The 20,169-nt window shown below is 36.5% G+C and overlaps 1 long non-coding RNA gene across 1 annotated transcript in view; it reads left to right on the top strand.

Annotated features, from left to right (window-relative positions):
• Positions 1-13,150: 13,150 nt before the first annotated feature.
• Positions 13,151-20,169, top strand: part of LOC105370291 (uncharacterized) — a 93,686-nt gene continuing 86,667 nt past the window's right edge. The window contains exons 1-2 of the long non-coding RNA XR_002957485.2: positions 13,151-13,342; positions 14,600-14,651. This is a non-coding gene — a long non-coding RNA (uncharacterized LOC105370291). The remainder of the gene's footprint in view (positions 13,343-14,599; positions 14,652-20,169) is intronic.

The following is a 20,169-nucleotide window of genomic DNA, read 5'->3' as shown; positions in this document are numbered from 1 at the left end:
AACCAGGGCCATTGGAGAGAGACTACAGGGCTGGATAAAAAAGAAGGAAATTGTACCTTTCTGTCTGCCTACTGCTGCATTCTGCTCCCATTACTATTGCTGTATAATAAATTATCCCAAACTGGAGTGACATAAAACATCCCTTTTTTTTTTAGAACACAAATTTGCAGGTCAGGGACACAGTGTGGGCTTGACTAGGCAGTGCTCATTTGGGTTCCCCTCTGCAATGGCAGTCAGATGTTGGCTAAGGCTGCAATCATGCAATCATCTCATGCCATAATTATGCCCATTGCTAGCATAGCTGCTGGCTGTTAACTGGGAGATCAACTGAACTACCCACAGAAGTGTATATAAGTGGCCTCTTCAGCATGGCAATGTAGAGTGGACAGACTCTTTATATGGCAAGTGATTTCCCCAGCAAAAAGTGTTCTAAAGACCCAAAGGAAAGCAGAATTTCAGAAATTACACAGCATCACTTGCAGGGCATCCTGGTAGGGCATCCTGTTGGTAAGGGGTCTAATAATGATTCAGAGGAAGAAGACATAGATCCCAACTCTCTACAGAAGGAACATCCAAAAGGTCTGGGTGCCAGACCCATGAAGCGCCCTTTAGAAAAGACTCAGAGCTTCAGAGATCTTACTTTCAGTTCTTCAAGACCCCTCCTCCAAGATTCAAAATTTTAATCATCTTAACCTTTTCATTTTGTTCCCCCAGTCCTAAGGAACACCTTAGTCTTTTTCAAAATTTACCCTTTCAGCTATCTAACTAACTTAACATCTAGTTAAAAACTGTTAATACTATTTTTTCTAGGTAAAAATAAATATAATTTCTGCCTCTTCATTGTATATGATGACTCACATAGAAAGAAGTGACAAATGAAAACTATGTTAAAAGTTAGGCAAAAATCTGAATGACATATTTCAAACAACTGCTTCTTAAGAGTTTAATCATATCTTGGTATGTTGATATTTTATATTATATAAATTATAGCATTTGATCAAAGACCAACTACTGCCTGGGTTTGGCTATGTTCACATTCCCTTAATATATCTTGATCTTAGACATTTTTACATCAAAGTTTAATGTGGACTATTATAGTAGCTAGAATATGAATAGAAAAGTTGAATAACATTGGCAGTGTAAGATAAGAACAAATTCCAATTATATATTGACAGACTGAAAATAACCTTATTATTAAAATACATTCTTACAATATATGTTTAATAGATTGAGTCTCAAAGGGGTCAAATTTCTTTCACACAATTACAAACTAAATGGGAGAATACACCTTAGAATAGTTGTATTTAATTTTGGATCCTCCTTTAGTGCTATTTCTATGAAACCATTAAGTCCCCCAGGTGGCCAGTTACAATTTTTTTAAGATTAAAGCTTGTTGTAAATTACAGTAGAATATCATTTTCAGGAACATTTCATAAAGCCAATTTCAAAGCTATGAACTTTTTACTATTTCCTGAAATTTTACGCTCTAATTTAAAATCTCCAAACTCTAAAGTATGTATAAAAACCTATACATTAGAATGCCTCATGTTTTGAACTATTTAATAAAAAAAGATTATTTGAAAGTTTGAGTCAGTACTTTAATTTTTGCCGAAATAACACTAAATTTTAGACGTGCTTAATAAAATACAGGAACTTTTCACTGTGATTAGAGAGCTTGCTAATTTATTTTTTTCTATCTACCTATCTATTTTATTAAACATAATCATAGGCTTAAACATTCAAGCAAAATCCCTGTAAACTATCATGAATTACTTTGTAAGAGAAAATAATGAGGCTCATGGCTACTGCCCAGCTTATAATAGTCCATTTTTAAAGCAAAACTTCATTCATTTGCCAAAATATTTGATGCTTGTGTCATCATGCTACATTTAGAAGTGAACATAGATAATTGATTCCAATTCCTGCCTATTGTAGGGAAGTCTGTCAGAAATCACCAAATAAGTTCAGAATTTCTGACATATAATTAAGTAATAATTTTTGATATTGTTTTTTACTTTTTACTTTTGACTGAATTTCACAATAGACTGGCAGTTCCTGTCCTTAGAAAATAGAATGTTGAGTGCATTCTCTGCCCTCTAATGGGGAACCAGTCATGCTTAACTGCAGAAACTTTGCTTTGAGAGAACAGGCAAACTCTAATTACCAAATAATCAACACTACCGCTGTGCAGGAGCATCCAAGTAATTGCGGATTCTCACATACTGGAAATAACATAAATAGTATTTTAATAAGAACTATGAACACTTAGGTTGGTTCCTCATCCATTTCTAGAAATTTCATCCCTTTTTTTTGGATCAAATTTCTTTTTTTTTTTTTTTGAGACAGAGTCTCCCTCTGTCTCCAGGCTGGAGTGCAGTGGCGAGATCTTGGCTCACTGCAACCTCCACCTCCCGGGTTCAAGCAATTCTCCTGCCTCAGCCTCCCGAGTAGCTGGGACTACAGGCATGCGCCACCACACCCAGCTAATTTTTGTATTTTTAGTAGAGACGGGGTTTCACCATGTTGGCCAGGATGGTCTTGACGTCTTGACCTTGTGATCCACCTGCCTCAGCCTCCCAAAGTGCTGGGATTACAGGCGTGAGCCACTGTGGCTGGCCCACATTTTTATTTAAAATAATCACAATGGAGTCTACTCTAGAAAGACCTTACAACACTTCCTTCAAAAGTCTTAAAACCTAGAAGAAAAAAAATGTGTGTGTATATATACCCACATATATATGATACATACACACATACATACATACGATACATATATAAACAGGCATTAAAATATTAACTGATTGAGCTCTGTAATAAAAGTATATAAATACTACCCAATCACAAGTTCAAGAGAGTGGATAGGCCGGGCGCGGTGGCTCACGCCTGTAATCCCAGCACTTTGGGAGGCCGAGGCGGGCGGATCACGAGGTCAGGAGATCGAGACCATCCCGGCTAAAACGGTGAAACCCTGTCTCTACTAAAAATACAAAAAATTAGCCGGGCGTAGTGGCGGGCGCCTGTAGTCCCAGCTACTTGGGAGGCTGAGGCAGGAGAATGGCGTGAACCCGGGAGGCGGAGCTTGCAGTGAGCCGAGATCCCGCCACTGCACTCCAGCCTGGGCGACAGAGTGAGACTCCGTCTCAAAAAAAAAAGAAAAAAAAAAAAAAAAAGAGAGTGGATAACTGGAATGGTTAGACTTATTATTAAATAATCTTTTTATTTTATTTTACTTTTAAGTTCTAGGGTACATGTGCACAACGTGCAGGTTTGTTATATATGTATACATGTGCCATGTTGGTGTGCTGCACCCATTAACTCGTCTTAATTGTAAACTAGTAAAGAAAAAAACATAGAGTAAAAAACACATTTTATTTCTGGTTGCATTCCTATGTTCTCCTCCAACAGGTACCAAAATAAAGTGTATCCTAGAGTTCTTTAGCTTCTTTACATTGAAGGCCAGACCCTCAAAAAAATGAAAGTTCTTCATTTTGGGTCTTCTGAATCACTTACTCAATCTCACATTCACAGGGAGAATTTATAGGAAACAGATTAGCTTACCCTTGATGGTTAGCTTCAATATTTCGAAGAAAATTAAAAAGAGAATGAGAAGTTTAAGGATTTAAGGAAAGAAAAATTTATCTTGATATGTGTAAAGTGGCATGGAATGCAGAGAAGATATTCACTATTTATTAGACATGGACATAAGTAGATTGGAAGGAATATTAGGGAGATGATTAGGCAAACTGTTCACTTACCTTCACTCCACTTAATTCCATTATTCACAATCAAATTGCTTATAAAGTCAGAGCCTAACCCTTTTCATAATTCTATTCTCTTTCCTTATTTAACCCTGATATATTTTCTGTTTCTGCTCTTTACTTTCAGGATGATGGACCACCTCTAGAAAAAAGCCTTAGAGTGTTTCCCAACATTTCATAACTTAGAAGATGAAGATGATTCAACAAAAAGATAGTTAAAAGAAAAAGCCGGCTAAGTAAAATGAAAAGCAAAAAAATAGTGAAAAATCATAAAATGAGTCCTTCAAGACTTAGTGGTTGATCAACCAAACACAATGAAGGTGAGAGTCAAATAAACTGAGCACTGAAAAATTAAAATGAATGGTAAAAACAATAGCCTTGTTTGACTATGGAAGAGACAAAGTAGATCAGTGAGCAGAAAATACTCTTTTGATTACATTTGCTAAAGTGGGAAAAAGAAATTGCCATCAATTAGAGAGTGATATCAAATGAAAGTTTCTTCATCTTTTAAAGTGCAATTTTTACAACATCTTATTTTGCTTAAGGAATTGTACTGAAAAGATAGACATTTTTTAGTCAGGAAGAGAGAAAGTAACTTGAAAGACACTTGAGAAACATGCCTACTTAAGAAAGGCAAGAAATGACAAAGTCTTGTATACAGGTCGACTGGATAGTCTCAGATAGGAAACAGTTTGTTATACAAAAGAGGCCCTAAATGAAAGTAGATTTGTTGTCGTAGGATTAGGAAATTCCACTCTCACCTTTTCCTAGTTTTTTTTTTTTTTCAGTAAAATAAGAAACTCATAAGATGAGAGTGAGAAGATGTATATGTTTGAAGAAAAAGGATGCAAAAAATACAACTGAAAGAAAAAGAGATCATAAATCAGAGATATGTAGTAGATTTCCAGATGCAGCTGAGGACTCAATGTTTGTGATCAAGCATCTAAACTAACCAAAATCTACCCCTACTATGGGCTTTTCCCTCTCCATATTCAAGAATTCTATTCAGAGTAAAGAAAAGGTGGCAATTTGCATTCAACTACGGTTAAATCAGAGAAAGATAAATTGTGTGTGAAAATTGAAAAGATTACTAAAATAATTTGCAGTGGGCTAACCAAAAATAAATGAAATAAACTACATATGAATAAATATTAACTTTTGATATTCATCATGAAGTGAATAAAATCTTTTCAAATGAAGCAGTTTCAATAGATAGGATGGGAGGTGGGCAGAAATAAATAAATAAATACTGGAAAAAAATCCCTCAATAAATATAGACAGATATTGCCACATTATAAGGTCCACTGAGATACACTGAATAATAAATAATAAACTTTAAAAAGCATAGTAGCAAAGTGTTGTGAAATTTTACAATGTCCAAGTACAATTTCGAGTGGGGATAAAAAAGAAGTGATCTAAGGAAAATTATAGCCGGAGGCCAACCAAACATTCTGATCAGCAAAACGGTTGATGGAGACAGCAAAGCCATTAAAGTGGAAAGGCAGGAACATGGAGGGGTGTAAAGATAAGACAACTAAGCATATTATCAATATTTTATTATTAATTTAAAATATATTTATAGAAAAATTGAGCAGAGCCTATATTTGATATGTTATTGTTAACCAAATTCTATAGTTTATTCAGATTTCCTTAGCTTTTATCTAATTTTCTTATTCAGTTCAAGGATGCTATCTAGGATACCACATCACATTTATTTACAAAGTTGCCATCATCTCTTACCTGGATTACAGTAACAGCTTCATATCAAGTCTCTGCTTTCTCAACTTCTGTCACTGCTTCCATATTCTAATGCTTTTTGCATATTATTTAGTCTTTATCCGCTAGCAGATAAGCAGTATGACCACAGGTATATTTTGCTTATCAACATATCCCAAGTATTTGAAATATTGCATGACATTTAGTAGGTGTTCAACAAATTGTAGTATAAACATTTTCAGTACTAATTGTCTTTTTAAAAAATTTTATTGTATGTCAGCAAATTATAATTGTATATATGTATTGGTTACAAAATAATGTTATGATATATGTATACATGTAGACTAATTAAATCAAGCTAATTAATGTATCCACCACCTCAAATACTAAATTTTTTGTCGTGAGAAAATTTTAATTTTATTCTCAGCAATTTTGAAATATACATGATTATTAGCTGTATTCACCATGTTATGCAAATGATCTCAAAAGGTTTATCCTTCTTGTGCCACTGAAACTTTGTACCCTTTAACCAACATTTTCCCATTTCCCTAACTCTGCAGCCTCCAGAAACCACTATTCTATTCTGTTGCTATAAGTTCATTTGTTTTGTATTCCAATATTTTGAACTTTTTCTCAAATCCATGGTGTTTGTCGTGCAATTTGACACAGTGGCTCTAAAAACTTAAGGCAATAAGCTTACTGTGAATCACACGCACTTAGCCTGTTTTTGTTGTCTTCAACTTTCTACAAACTTCCACTACCATTAAAGCCCCTCTGCACGTATTCTTACTCTCTCTGCTTATCCTGGTCATCATTAATACTTATCTACAGGTTTACATTCAGTCAAGCTTTTCCCCCTGAATAAAATTAATTCACTCTTCTCTCCTACTTCTAGTCAACTCAGCCTAGCCAAAAATTTTGTTTAGATCTTCAGATATTGGTCCCTAATCTTTAAAAACAAATTAAGTCACACACTGGTACCTTGATAAAGCTCTGCTTATGAATATACTTTATTGTTTACATTTAAAATGTAAGCACTTTAAAATCATTGGTCCTTATAATTTTTCATGAGTCTTGCTGATGCGTGCATTTTGAAAAGTAGTGTCAGAATTGAACAAAACAGTAAATGTCTTAGACCATGAAAAATAATTGAGATGATTTTTACTTGATAAAATTAAAGGCCATTCAATAAAGGACAATCTTAGTACAATAAATCCCTATGCATTATTTTCTTGATATAAAATATGCCATCCCACTTGTAAAATTGCTATAATTAATGGCCCTCAGTTTTAGTATGTTCACACCTTCTAAGCCTGATAGACACTCTACTGGTGTGCATGAACTGTAGCCTCAGCATGTTTCTCATTTGCAGTGAAACTTTTGAAGATAATAGTATCTATTTTTGACAGGGCACAATGAAGCAGAAAATGGGCAGATGCCATGAACTGTATAATCAGTACAAGGAAGATTCTAGCTAGCATTCACAGTACCTCAGACAAACCAAGGAGTATTTAGTGGTTAACTCTAATGTAATGACAATCAAAAGCCATCTGTTGTGAAAGCCTGCAATACAAGGACCTGCTGCTGACCCACACACATTCTAAAAAGACATTTAGAGAGTTAAATTAATACATTATACTTTAAAGAAAGAAATAATTACTGATTGATATGGTTTGAATTTGTGTCCCTGCCCAAATCTCATGTCGAATTGTATTCCCCAGTGTTGGAAGCGGGCCTGGTGGGAGGTGATTGGATCATGGGGGTGGATTTCTCCCTTGTTGTTTCTGTGATAGCGACTGAGTTCTCATGAAATCTGGTTGTTGGAAAGTGTGCAGCACTTTTCCCTTCGCTCTATGTCTTCTTCTCAGCCATGAGAAGACGTGCCTGCCTCTCCTGTGACTTCCATCATTATTGTAGGTTTCCTGAGGCCTCCCCAGCCATACTTCCTGTGCAGTTGGAGAACTGTGAATCAATTAAACCTCTTTTCTCATAAATTACCCAGTCTCAGTTCTTTACAGCAATGTATGAACAGAATAATACATTGATAAGCTGCATAAAATTTATTTATTAATTTCACAGAATATAAGACATTGCAATGTAGCAACAGATGTCAACTTTCAAAGCATTTGTTTCAATGATTTATGTGTCAGTTGTTCAATTGACTTTAAAAGGATCATTTTTCATGTGTTTAAAAAAGTGTACATTTTTTCCCTCATAAAATTATCAGATTAAACCTTCTACTTTTAATATAGTATGCTTTAAACACTTAATAGGTAGCATATTTAACAAATGGTATTAATTTTAGAGTCTATAAAGCCAAAGTATTTTTACTGCGGTGGTTATTCTTGATTTTATTTTCATATTTTTAAAATCATTTTACATATTTCAACTAATGTGAGAAGTATCTAATTTTCCTTTATCAAATTCTAGCAAAGTAAAATGTCTCACAAGTAGTCAATGTTACTGTGTGATTTCAAAATTTAAATTTAAAATGTGAAAACGTTGTATGCAAAGATCAAAGCCTTTGAGATGATACATTGATTTTCAAACTAAATTGCCTGTATTAATTTCCCAGGACTGCTATAATAAACTTGGTGCCTTATAATAACAGACATGTATTATGTGAGAGGTGTCAGCAAGGCTAGTCTCCTTATAAAGGCACCTGGGAAGGAACGCTCCCATGCCTCTCTTCCAGCTTTTGGTGACATTAGGCATCTTTTTCTTGTAGATGTATCACTTTAATCCTTGGTCTTCACATAATACTCCTTGTATGTCTTCACACCATCTTCTTTTTGTATGTGTTTGTGTTCAAATGCCCCCATTTTAAAAGGACACCAGTCATATTGGTTTTAGACTCACTCTAATTAATTCATCTTAACCTTGTTAAATCTGCAAAGACCGTATTTTCAAATAAGTTACCTTCTGAGGGACTAGTGTTAGAACTTCAACCTATATTTTTCTGGATGACGCAGTTCAGCTGCGTGCCCATGTTGGAATATCATTTCTGCCACTGACCATTTCTGTAGCCTTAAGCAAGTTATACAGTCTCTGTGAGCCTCCATTTATGAGCTGTTATGAGGAATAAAGACTCTAATACAGGTATATGAAAAGTACTTAGAAATATTGGCTATTATGAGTCTTACCCAACAATAATGTCTGTTCTTTTCCAATGGCTTTTTACTATTCAGTATTTTAAATCAATATTTTACTCTTTGATAGTAGATAAAAATTTATGTTCAACACTTTTATCTGGCTTAGAAAATCTAAGTTACATTGGCTTGTCAGGAATTGCCAACAACAATGGCACAGTATATCCTGACCCAGTTCTCCACCAAATCAGCATAGATCCTGACTGTCAGGTCAGTCACCACTTCAGATTACTTCCTATCCTTTTAGTGTATATGGCCTTAGTCAGGTCACCCTAATGTTCTCGTAAGAATGAGACAAAATAACTAGAAATCTAGGTCACGTTTGCCTTTCTGTATTAGTCTTTTCTCACATTGCTATAAAGAACTACCTGAGACTAGGTAATTTATGAAGAAAAGAGGTTTAATTCACTCACAGTTTCACAGGCTTAACAGGAAGCATAACTATGAGGCCTCAGGAAACTTACAATTCTGGCAGAAGGCAAAATGGAAGATAGCATGTCTTACCATGGTGGAGCAGGAGAGAGAGACAGAGTAAAGGGACAAGTGCCATAAACTTTTACACCGTCAGACCTCATGAGAACTCACTATCATGAGGACAGCGTGGGAGAAATCCACACCTTAATCCAATCACCTCCCATCAGGTCCCTCCCCCCACATTGGAAATTACAATTCAACGTGAGATTTGGGTGGAGATACAGAATCAAACCATATCATTCTACCCCTGGCCCCTCCTAAATTTCATTTTCTTCTCACATTTCAAAACAAACCATGCCTTTCCAAAAGTCCCCAATGTCTTAACTCATTCTAACATTAGCACAAAAGTCTAAGTCTAAAGTCTCATCTGAGACAAGGCAAGTCCTTTCTGCCTATTAACCTATAAAATTAAAAACAAGTTAGTTATTTCCAAGATACAGTGGGAGTATATGCATTGGGTAAATGCTCCCCTTCCCAAAAGGGAGAAATTGGACAACTCAAGTGGGCTACAGGCCCCATGCAAGTCTGGAATCCAGCAGGGCAGTTATTCAATCTTAAAGCTTCAAAATAATCTTTTTTGACTCCATGTCTCACATGCAGACCACAGTTATGCCAAAGACCAACTCCCAAGGCCTTGTGCAACTCTGCCTCTGTGGCTCTGCAGGGTACAGCCTGTGCAGCTCATTCACAGGCTGGTGTTGAGTGCCTGTGGCATTTCCAGGTGCATGGTACAAGCTGTTGATGGGTCTACCATTCCAGGGTCTGGAGGACAGTGACCCTCTCACAGCTCCACTAGGCAGTATCCCAGTGGGGACTCTGTGTGGGGGCTACCACCCCACATTTCCCTTATGCACTGTCCTAGTAGAGGTTCTCCATGAGGGCTCTGCCCCTGCAGCAGACTTTTGCTTGGACATCCAGGCATTTTCATACATCCTATGATATCTAAGTGGTAGTTCTCAAACCTCAACTCTTGCCTTCTGCACAGACACAGGCCCAACACCACAAAGAATCTGCCAAGGCTTGGGGCTTGGACCATCTGAAGACATGACACAAGCTGTACTTTGGCTCCTTTTAGCCATGGCTGGAGCTGGAGCAGCTGAGACGCTGGATGCCATGTCCCAAGGCTGCACCAAGCAACTGGGCCCTGGGTCTGACCTACAAAATCATTTTTCCCTCCTATTCTTCTGGGTCTGTGATGGGAGGGGCTGCCATGAAGGTCTCTGAAATGCCCTGGATACATTTTCCCATTGTCTTGGCTATTAACATTCGGCTCCTTGTTACTCATGCAAATTTCTGCAGCTGCCATGAATTTCTCCTCAGAAAATGGGTTTTTCTTTTCTACTACATGATCAAGCTGCAAATTTTCCAAACTTTTATGCTCTGCTTTCATTTTAAATATAAGATCCAGTTTCAGATAATCTCTTTGTTTACGCATCTGAGTGTACATTTTCAGAAACAGTCAGGTAAACATCGTAAATGCTTTGTTACTTAAAAATTACCTCCACCAGATATCCTAAATCATCTCGCTCAAGTTCAAAGTTCCATAGGTCTCTAGGACAGGGGCATAATACACCCAGTCTTTTTTGCTGAAGCATAGCAAGAGTGATCTTTACTCCAGTTCCCAAGAAGTTCCTCATCTCCCTCTGAGACCACCTCAGCCTGGACTTCATTGCCCATATCACTATCAGCACTTTGGCCAAAATCATTCAACAAGTCTCTAGGACATTCCAGATTTTCCCACATCTTCCTATCTTCTTCTGAGCCCTGCAAACAATTTCAACCTCTGCTCATTACCCAATTCCAAAGTTGCTTCCACATTTTCAAATATCTCCTGGTACCAATTTTCTGTATTAATTCATTCTCACACTGCTATAAAGAACTACCTGAGACTGAGCAATTTATAAAGAAAAGAGGTTTAATCGACTCAAAGTTTTGAAGTTTTGCAGGAAGCATGAACACAAGGCCTAAGGAAACTTAGAATCATGGCAGAAGGTGGAGGGAAAGCAAGCATTTCTTTTTTTTTTTTTTTTTTTTGAGACGGAGTCTCGCTTTATTCCCCAGGCTGGAGTGCAGTGGCGCAATCTCTGCTCACCGCAAGCTCCGCCTCCCAGGTTCACGCCATTCTCCTGCCTCAGCCTCTGGAGTAGCTGGGACTACAGGCACCTGCCACCACGCTCGGCTAATTTATTTCTATTTTTAGTAGAGACGGGGTTTCACTGTGTTAGCCAGGATGGTCTCAACATCCTGACCTCGTGACCTGCCCTCCTCAGCCTCCCAAAGTGTTGGGATTATAAGCGTGAGCCACTGTGCCCGGCCAGGGGAAGCAAGCATTTCTTACCATGGTGGAGCATGAGAGAAAGAGAGAGCAAAGGCCAAAGTGCCACACACTTTTAAACCATCAACTCTTTTGAGAACTCACTCACTATCATGAGAACAACATGAGAGTATTCTGCCCTCATGATCTAATCACCTCCCACCAGGTCCTGCCCTCAACATTGGGAATTCAAATTCGACACGAGATTTGGATTGAGACATAGAGCCAAACCATATTACTCTTTCAGAAATGTCATTACCACTATGAAAATGGACCAACACAAACGAAGTTTGGAAAGATACTTCTTACAGTCAAGAATTATACTAAAACCATATAAAAATATTAAATTATGAGATATAAAAATAACATGATATAATTTTAATCACTTTTAATAAGAGTCTTCCATAAAGAATCAAAAAAGTGGATACATTCTTTAAGGTAATTGAACCAATAAAACAAATCTTCCCAGTTTAAGAAGAGCATAAACTATTGAAATACCCACATTAAATTGAAATTTATTAAAGTTTCTAAAATGTCCCACAGTAACAAAACATCTTTAAATTGACCTGAGTTAAATGTTTATCCTCGGGAGAAGATTTTGTTCGTTTCTTTGAAAACAATCTAGTAACATCCCTTTAATATCAATTTGAGAAGTGCTATATATATACCTTTGAAATTATACTTCCTATATGAAATTTTGTATTCTTTCCTAACCCTTCTCCACCATTCCAATTTATAACTTTCAAAAGTTAAAATTATGGCTGACGTAATATTAAAATGAACTTGTGTCGAAACTTTTTCTTTTCAATGGGGTGATCAGAGAACATCAAATCTAATTCGAGGAAAATTCAAGGGGAACTACAGAAAAAAATGCTGGAATAAGCTTGCTGCCTTACACACAAAACTACTTAGTGTCCCATGAATTTGGGGGTTATATTTTCTATTGAACAGTAATAATGTCCTTCCACATATGAATGCAATAAAGAGCATTAACACACTATTTTTTCTACTTACCAGTTACTTTCCTCAATATAAAGTAAAATATATGGACAAAGAGTTACTTGTTAACATTGATTATGCTGATACTGTGTCCAGAATTGGTGGGTTCTTGGTCTCGCTGACCTCAAGAATGAAGGCATGGACCCTCACAGTGAGTCTTACAGTTCTTAAATGTGGTGTGTCTGGAGTTTCTTCTTACTGGTGGGTTCGTGGTCTCACTGACTTCAGAAGTGAAGCTGCAGACCTTCGCAGTGAGCGTTACAGCTCTTAAAAGCGGCGCATCTGAACTTCTTCGTTCCTTCCCGTGGGTTCATGGTCTCGCTGGCCTCAGGAGTGAAGCTGCAGCCCTTCATGGTTAGTGTTACAGCTCACAGGTGGACCCAAAAAGTGAGCAGCAGCAAAATTCATTGCAAAGAGCAAAAGAACAAATCTACCACAGCATGGAAGATCTACCACAGCATGGAAGGAGACCCGACTGGGTTGCCTCTGCTGGCTTGGGCAGCCTGCTTTTATTCCTTTATCTGGCCCCACCCACATGCTGCTGATTGGTCCATTTTACAGAGAGCTGATTGGTCCATTTTACAGAGAGCTGATTGGCCTGTTTTGACAGAGTGCTGATTGGTGCATTTACAATCCCTGAGCTAGACACAGAGTGCTGATTGGTGCATTTACAATCCCCTAGCTAGAAATAAAAGTTCTGCAAGTCCCCACCAGGCTAGATACAGAGTGCTGATTGGTGTATCCACGAACCCTGAGCTAGACACAGAGTGCTGATTGGTGCATATACAATTCTCCAGCTGGACATAAAACTTCTCCAAATCCCCACCCAACTCAGGAGCCCAGCTGGCTTTGCTTGGTGGATCCCGCTCCGGGGCTGTGGGTGGAGCTGCCTGCCAGTCCTGTGCCGCGTTCCCGCACTCTTCAGACCTTGGGTAGTTGATGGGACCTGGAGCCGCGGAGCAGGGGGCGGAGCAGGGGGTGGCGCCCGTAGGGGAGGCTCCGGCCGCGCGGGAGCCCACCACGGGGCGGGGGGCGCTGGGCATGGCGGGCTGCGGGTCCTCAGCCCAGCCAAGCGGAGGTGGCTGAGGCCCGGGGCGAGAATTCGAGCGCGGCGTGGGCGGGCCGGCAGTGCTGGGGGACCTGGCGCACCCTCTGCAGCTGCTGGCCCGGGTGCTAAACCCCTCACTGCCCGGGGCCAGCGGCGCCAGCCGGCCACTCCAAGTGCGGGCCCGCGGAGCCTGCACCCACCCAGAACTCGCGCTGGCTCGCGAGCGCTAGGCGCAGCCCCAGTTCCCGCCCTAGTCTCTCCCTCCACATCTCCCCTCAAGCAGAGGGAGCCGGTGCCGGCCTCGGCCAGGCCCAGAGAGGGCTCCCACAGTGCAGCAGCGGGCTGAAGGGCGGAAGGGCTCCTCAAGCGTGGCCAGAGTGGACACCGGGGCCAAGGAGGCGCCGCGAGCGAGCTAGGGCTGCTAGCATGTTGTCACCTCTCAATATGACAATGCAAATATTAGTTACAAATTATCAAATGGGTGTTTTATTATATTTACCTGGGAATAGACTTTAAAGTTTTACAAACAAATATCCAAATACAAACAAGAAATAAGGCGGCCTTGGTATATAAAACTATTCATTTATTGATTCATTAAAATCCTGTATCTTTCCTGTGATTCAGTATGGACATTGGATTACATATGACTTTATGTTCCAAGTATGCATGTGTCTAACATCAATTACAACAGTTTACGTACATGAAGAGTTCAATGTAAACAGGCATGTTTGTAATTAAACTTATAAGCAAAAAAAAAGAAAAATCTTTCAACTTGTTTAAAATAGGCAGTCTAAAATTGCTTTTAGGTTTTATTCTCTAATATACATAAAATTAAAAAAACTGGTTTCTAGTCTACAAATATGCATTGATTATAATCTTTTATTATGAGGCTTAATTTATTTCCAGTAGATATCAGAAGACAGAAGGAATGGAGATTAATGATAATGATAATACAGATTATCTTAGTCATTGTTAAACAAGTATTCCTAGGTATACACATATAAGTAAAACCAAGTTTTTGGAAAAAAAAGATATATTGCAATACAGTGATAATATGCTGCTGTTACATATGAATCATGTTATTCTTTAATATATTCTGGGTGAGTTCTCTTACTTTCTATTTATTTTTTTATAATTACAGGTGCAGAGAAAAGTCAGTGGGTTCAGCCTTGCCAGATAAAAAGTAATCAAAGGTAAAAATGAATCAAGATTACTTTTGCATAAACACGTCTTCTTTAAATCAACCTGATCTCTCTTTGAAACGTAATATCTCATATGAATTTAAACATCTTTTTTCTTGCATTCTTCTTTTCATAAACAAAGGAGTTTTTAAAAAGTTTCTAGTAGCAATTCTTTGATATATAGGGTCTATTCTCTTCAAAAATTAAAGTACATAAATAAATTACAAATTTAGGTTATAAATTTAATAAATTTGTCTTCTACTTGTTGGGAAAATATTGAGAATAATCAAAAATTAAGGAATAAATCTGAAAATTATAAGCATAGATATTGTGAAGCAGTACAAACAAAACATAAAAACTTTAGATAATTTAGTCTAAAAATTAACTCTTTTCTCTGAATTTAAAGATGTTAGAACACATTTGCTAAACTAAATGAAGAAGATTAATTGAAAACCTATCTAAAGTGGATTTTTTAATAATTTGGAAAATAGCACATGATACCTTATGGCTGGTATATAGCTACACTGACACATTTAAGCCTATTTTGGGAAAAATAAACCAAAAATAGGATATTGATCTATGGCTTAAAGACGTTGGATATAAAGAGACAATTATGCAGCTAAAAACACATGGGTATTTATTATTTGTGAAGTGATTTTATTTCAGAATTGAAGTTTATGAAAATGGCATATCACTTTTATTTAATTAGTTATACTTTACCAACTTTCATTGTGACAGTTTTTCTTCAAATTGTTTCCATAGAAATTGCAAAACATAAATAAAAATACATTTAGTATAACTAAAATTCCTACACATGTTTAAGTATGTTCTTTTAAATACTTTATTTTTAAATAAAATTACATATATTTATCATGTGCCGACATAATGTTTTGAAATACATACACGTTGTTGAAGGCCTAAATTGTGCTCACTGACATATGCATTACCTGATATACTCATCTTTTGTGTGCGTGTGTGTTTGTGTTTGGTGAAATTTACTCTAGTAGTGATTTTCAAGTATACAATGCATTGTAATTGACTGTAGTTGCCATGTTGTCCAATATATCTTTGAATTTATACTTCTTATATGACTGACATTTTGTATTCTTTCCTACCCTTCTCCCCCAGTTCTTAGTAACCAGCATTATACTCTATCCTTTTGTGAGTGAAACTTTTAAAAATTCCACATATATGTGAATTAGCCTTTCTGTGCCTAGCTCATTTTACATAACATGATGTCCTCCGGGTTCATCCATGTTGTAACAAATGATAGAATTTCTTTCTTTTATAAAGTGAGATAGTATTTCGTTGTGTATATGTACCACATTTTATCCTATGATAGATACTTAGATTGACTCCATTTCTTGGCTACTATGAATAATGTTGCAATGAGTATTTCTTTAAAATACTGATTTCATTTCCTTTGGATATATACCCAGTATTTGGATTGCTGGATTATATGTTAGCTCTGTTTTTAAGTTTTGAGGAACTTCCTTGCAGTTTTCCATAATAGCTTTACTAATTTACATTGTCACCAACAATATGCAAGTGTTCCCTTTTCTCCACATCCTTGCCAGTACTTTTTATCTTTCATCTGATTATAAAAAACATTGTAACAGGGTGAGATAATATTGTGATTTTAATTAGCTTTTCTCTGATGATTAGTGAGGGTGAGCATTTTTTTATACACATATTTACCATTTATGTGTCTTGTTTTGAGAAAAATCTTTTCAACTCCTTTGCCCATTTTTGTAATTGTGTTGTTTGTTTTCTCTCTGTATAGTTGTTTGAGTTCCTTACATATTCAGGATATTAACCCACTGTCAGATGTATAGTTTGCAAATATATTTTCCCATTATATAGGTTGTCTCTTCACTTTGCTGATTGTTTCCTTAGCTGCGCAGTAAGGTTTTAGTTTCTATAATCTCATTTGTAGGTTTTTTTTATTTTGTTGTCTGTATTTTTTGGGTTATATCCAAAAAATAATTTCCCAGACCAACACCATGGATCTTTTCCCCTGTTTTCTTCTAGTAGTTTTATGGTTTCAGGTCATATGTTTAGGGATTTAATCTATTTTGAGTTGATTTGTATATGGGGTGTGAGATTAGGGCTTAATTTCATTCTCTGCATGTGGATATCCAGTTTTCTCAAAACCATTTATTAAAGAAAATGTCCTTCCTCTATGGTTTGTTCTTGGCACCTTTGTCTAAAATCAATTGACAACAAATGTGTGGATTTATTTCTGGGTTCTCTATTCTGTTCTATTGGTCTACATGTATGCTTTTGTGCCATTACTATGCTGTTTTGATTACCATAGCTTCATAGTATATTTTGAAGTTAGGTAGTATGACACCTTCAGCTTTTTTCTTTTTGCTCAAGCTTTGGTTACTTAAATATGGAGAAAGTAGTATGTTCCATTCTCCCTCCATATGAAATATGTTCTTATTCTGGTGCTTAAAAGGACCATTCCCTTTAAAATAAAGCATGATCCATGGACTGTCAGCAGGAATATCAGCTGTTAGTGTGAGAGAAAGGCAAAATTTCAAGTCCCACCTCACGTTTTTAAATCAGAATCTAAATGTTAACAAGATGGCCAGTGGTACCTATGTGCATTAAATTTTGAGCAGAGCTGGAATTTGCAATAAGTTAAACTGTTGCTCTCACAAGCATCATTTTTTAAACTCTTGATTTTCAATTCTTCATTTTGTGGTGACAATGACAAAAAAGACTTGCAGTTTAACTGTGAGCCTTGCAACATACTTATACATTAATTGATAAGAATTTATTATTATACCCCGTTTGGCTTTTTTTAGTTTCAAACCAGTCTCACTATATGAAAAAAACATGGGGTATCTGCATAATAACTATAAACTAGTTTGTGATTAAAATAAGACAATAAAAATAATCTACAGAACAATATCAAAGTTGAGAAAGCGTGAGTGAAAAAAAGTGCTCTGAGGTTTTGAAGTTTGAGATTTCATTAGTGATTAAATTAAACGTTTCTTTTTTCAGTGTAATACTTTATTTTCTATTGTATTAAACAAACGCCAGGAAAAACATTATACATTTTAATAATTTAAGTTCTTATGTTGACATTTTTGAGTTAACCAATAAAGTAATATCAATAATTATCCAATTAGTTAACACAGAAATACACACACACACACATACACAAAGATTTCAGAGAAAAATCAACTAACCCAAATGAAGAAAGGATAAGAAAGAGAAAAAAAATCAAAGAAACAGAAAGTGAATGCTAAGTAAAAAGCATAAAATAAAATGGTTGGAAAGTCCAAATAATAGTAATTAAGACAGATATAAATGGCTAACAATACAATTAAAAAGAACTTTGCAAAATCCAGCTATTTTAAAGGGACACCTAAAAAAGGAATAAGGATCAAAGATAGCCCAGGAAAACTTTAAGCACATAAGTGAATGTAGCTATTTCAATATTAGATGAAGCCTTAGAAGAAAGGTCCTTAAAAATAATGAAACATTTAATTCAGCAGGTAGATATTACAAATATAAATTTTTATGAACTTACATGCAAAAGCTCAGAGAGTAAGGTTGCTGTTAACCTAAGAAGAGCTGCCCAAGTTCTTTGAAGGATGGAAAAACAAATAAACAAATAATAACAAGAATACATTATATTTTTATGACTGAAAGGTGGTACCTGGTTTACTTAGAACAGCATGCACAGCTAGCAGACATAGGGGACAGTTCAGATTATCAACAAAGTAGATGAGCTAATGCATATAGCTGGAATAGATTTTAAAGCTTTTGTGGATCAAAGACAGACCAGCCAATGGGCTGATACATGGCTTTTACCTGGAATTAATGCAGAGAATTACGGAAACAAGATAAACCAAGATGAAGATAAGATTTGGGGAAATGTCTGAGGTCATGAATCTCTGAAATTAATAAAGGGAAAGAATTTATGAGGCTATGATTTTGTATTTTGTATCTGAACTATATATACTGTTTTTCTGTCAGTCTTTGTGTTTTATGAAGATATTCTGGGTAGTCATCACATGGACATGCTGATTAGGATGCATTCATTGACACCTCTGTTTTTGGACTCTATAAAGGTCAGCCAAACATATGGCCCCAAACAGCTTATATTCCTAAATCTTGCCAAGTTTGGAAAATTGAACCTACATTGTATATCAGAAAAAGACAATTTTATTCAGCAACTCATAAGTATTTTGTACAGACCAGGGTACTGTACAATATTATCTTCTAACTTAATAGCCCAGTTTTCTCTGTGGAAGCCAGGTATGCTTAGAGTATTACAGTGATGCCAGCAACTGAGGTTTAAACATGAAAAAGGTTGATATTGTTTCAAAAATGTCTAACATCGTAACAGGACTGAAATAAGTCATGCCTAGTTGGAAGTGTATGCAGCCTTCGATCTTGCTAATGCATCTTTATTAGTTCTCTTCAGTTGCCTTCATTAGTCCTCTTCAGTTTGCCTTCACTTGGCAAAGCATATATTATGTGTTTTCAGTCTCCTGTGTGTCGAGCTAATCCTAGCTCAATGAAAAATGTTGATAACATGCAAATATTTTATTATAATGGTGATATTTTGCTAAGGGTTTACATTGAAAATACATATTTACATATTACTTTGATTACTACCAAAAGAACTAGAATGAAGACAAAATCAGTGGTTTAGCCTCTCCCAGCCTATGTTAAGCTCTATGTATGCTGAAAGACACAGCCTATTAAGAACAAACTTTTCATCTACAGTTACCAACCACAAACAAGAATTTTCAACTGGAATCTTACATCTGGGAATTTTACTGTGAACTCTATCCTAAGTCATTAGCTAACTACCAAAATTGAGTGCTTCATACAAGTAAAGCACAAAAGCAGTGAAAATACAATAAAACAAGCCTTGCCATGAAAACTGCTACCTTCTCAAGACTCCACAGAATTAGAAAAACATCTGTAGCTAATTTCACATCTTGGTTGAACGTTTGGTAAAAAAATGCTAAGGAGACTGAACACTGAAATTTCTTCAACTGTTAGGTATAAGTGGGTAGCCTATTTGTGGGCTCAAAGGGAAACAAATTATTTTACTGTCTTATTGATAAAACAAAAACAAAACAAACGTCATGTCCCTTCAACACTACATTATTATCTTATAACAAGTCTTTTCTGAAACAAGCTTAAGATTGAACAATACCTCAGATTTTCACTAAAGAAATGACACTTCAAATTACGAAATAATTCTTATCCAAAACAACTTAGCCATTTTTATGGCCATGTGTCTCTCCACCCATTATACCCAGAGACTTACAGTATTAGTTATTACACTGCTGATAAAGACATACCCGAGACTGGGCAATTTACAAAAGAAAGAGGTTTAAGTTTAACTGGACTCACAGTTCCATGTGGCTGGGGAGGCCTCACAATCATGGCAGAAAGCAAGAAGGAACAAGTCACATCTTACGTGGATGGTGGGAGGCAAAGAGAGAGCATGTATAGGGAAACTCTCATTTTTAAAACCATCAGATCTTTTGAGACA

Source organism: Homo sapiens, chromosome 13 (assembly GCF_000001405.40).
Source record: "Homo sapiens chromosome 13, GRCh38.p14 Primary Assembly".
Lineage (NCBI taxonomy): Eukaryota > Metazoa > Chordata > Mammalia > Primates > Hominidae > Homo > Homo sapiens.
The sequence above is the reverse complement of the archived record's forward strand: the minus strand, read 5'-3'. Positions and strand labels throughout refer to the sequence as shown.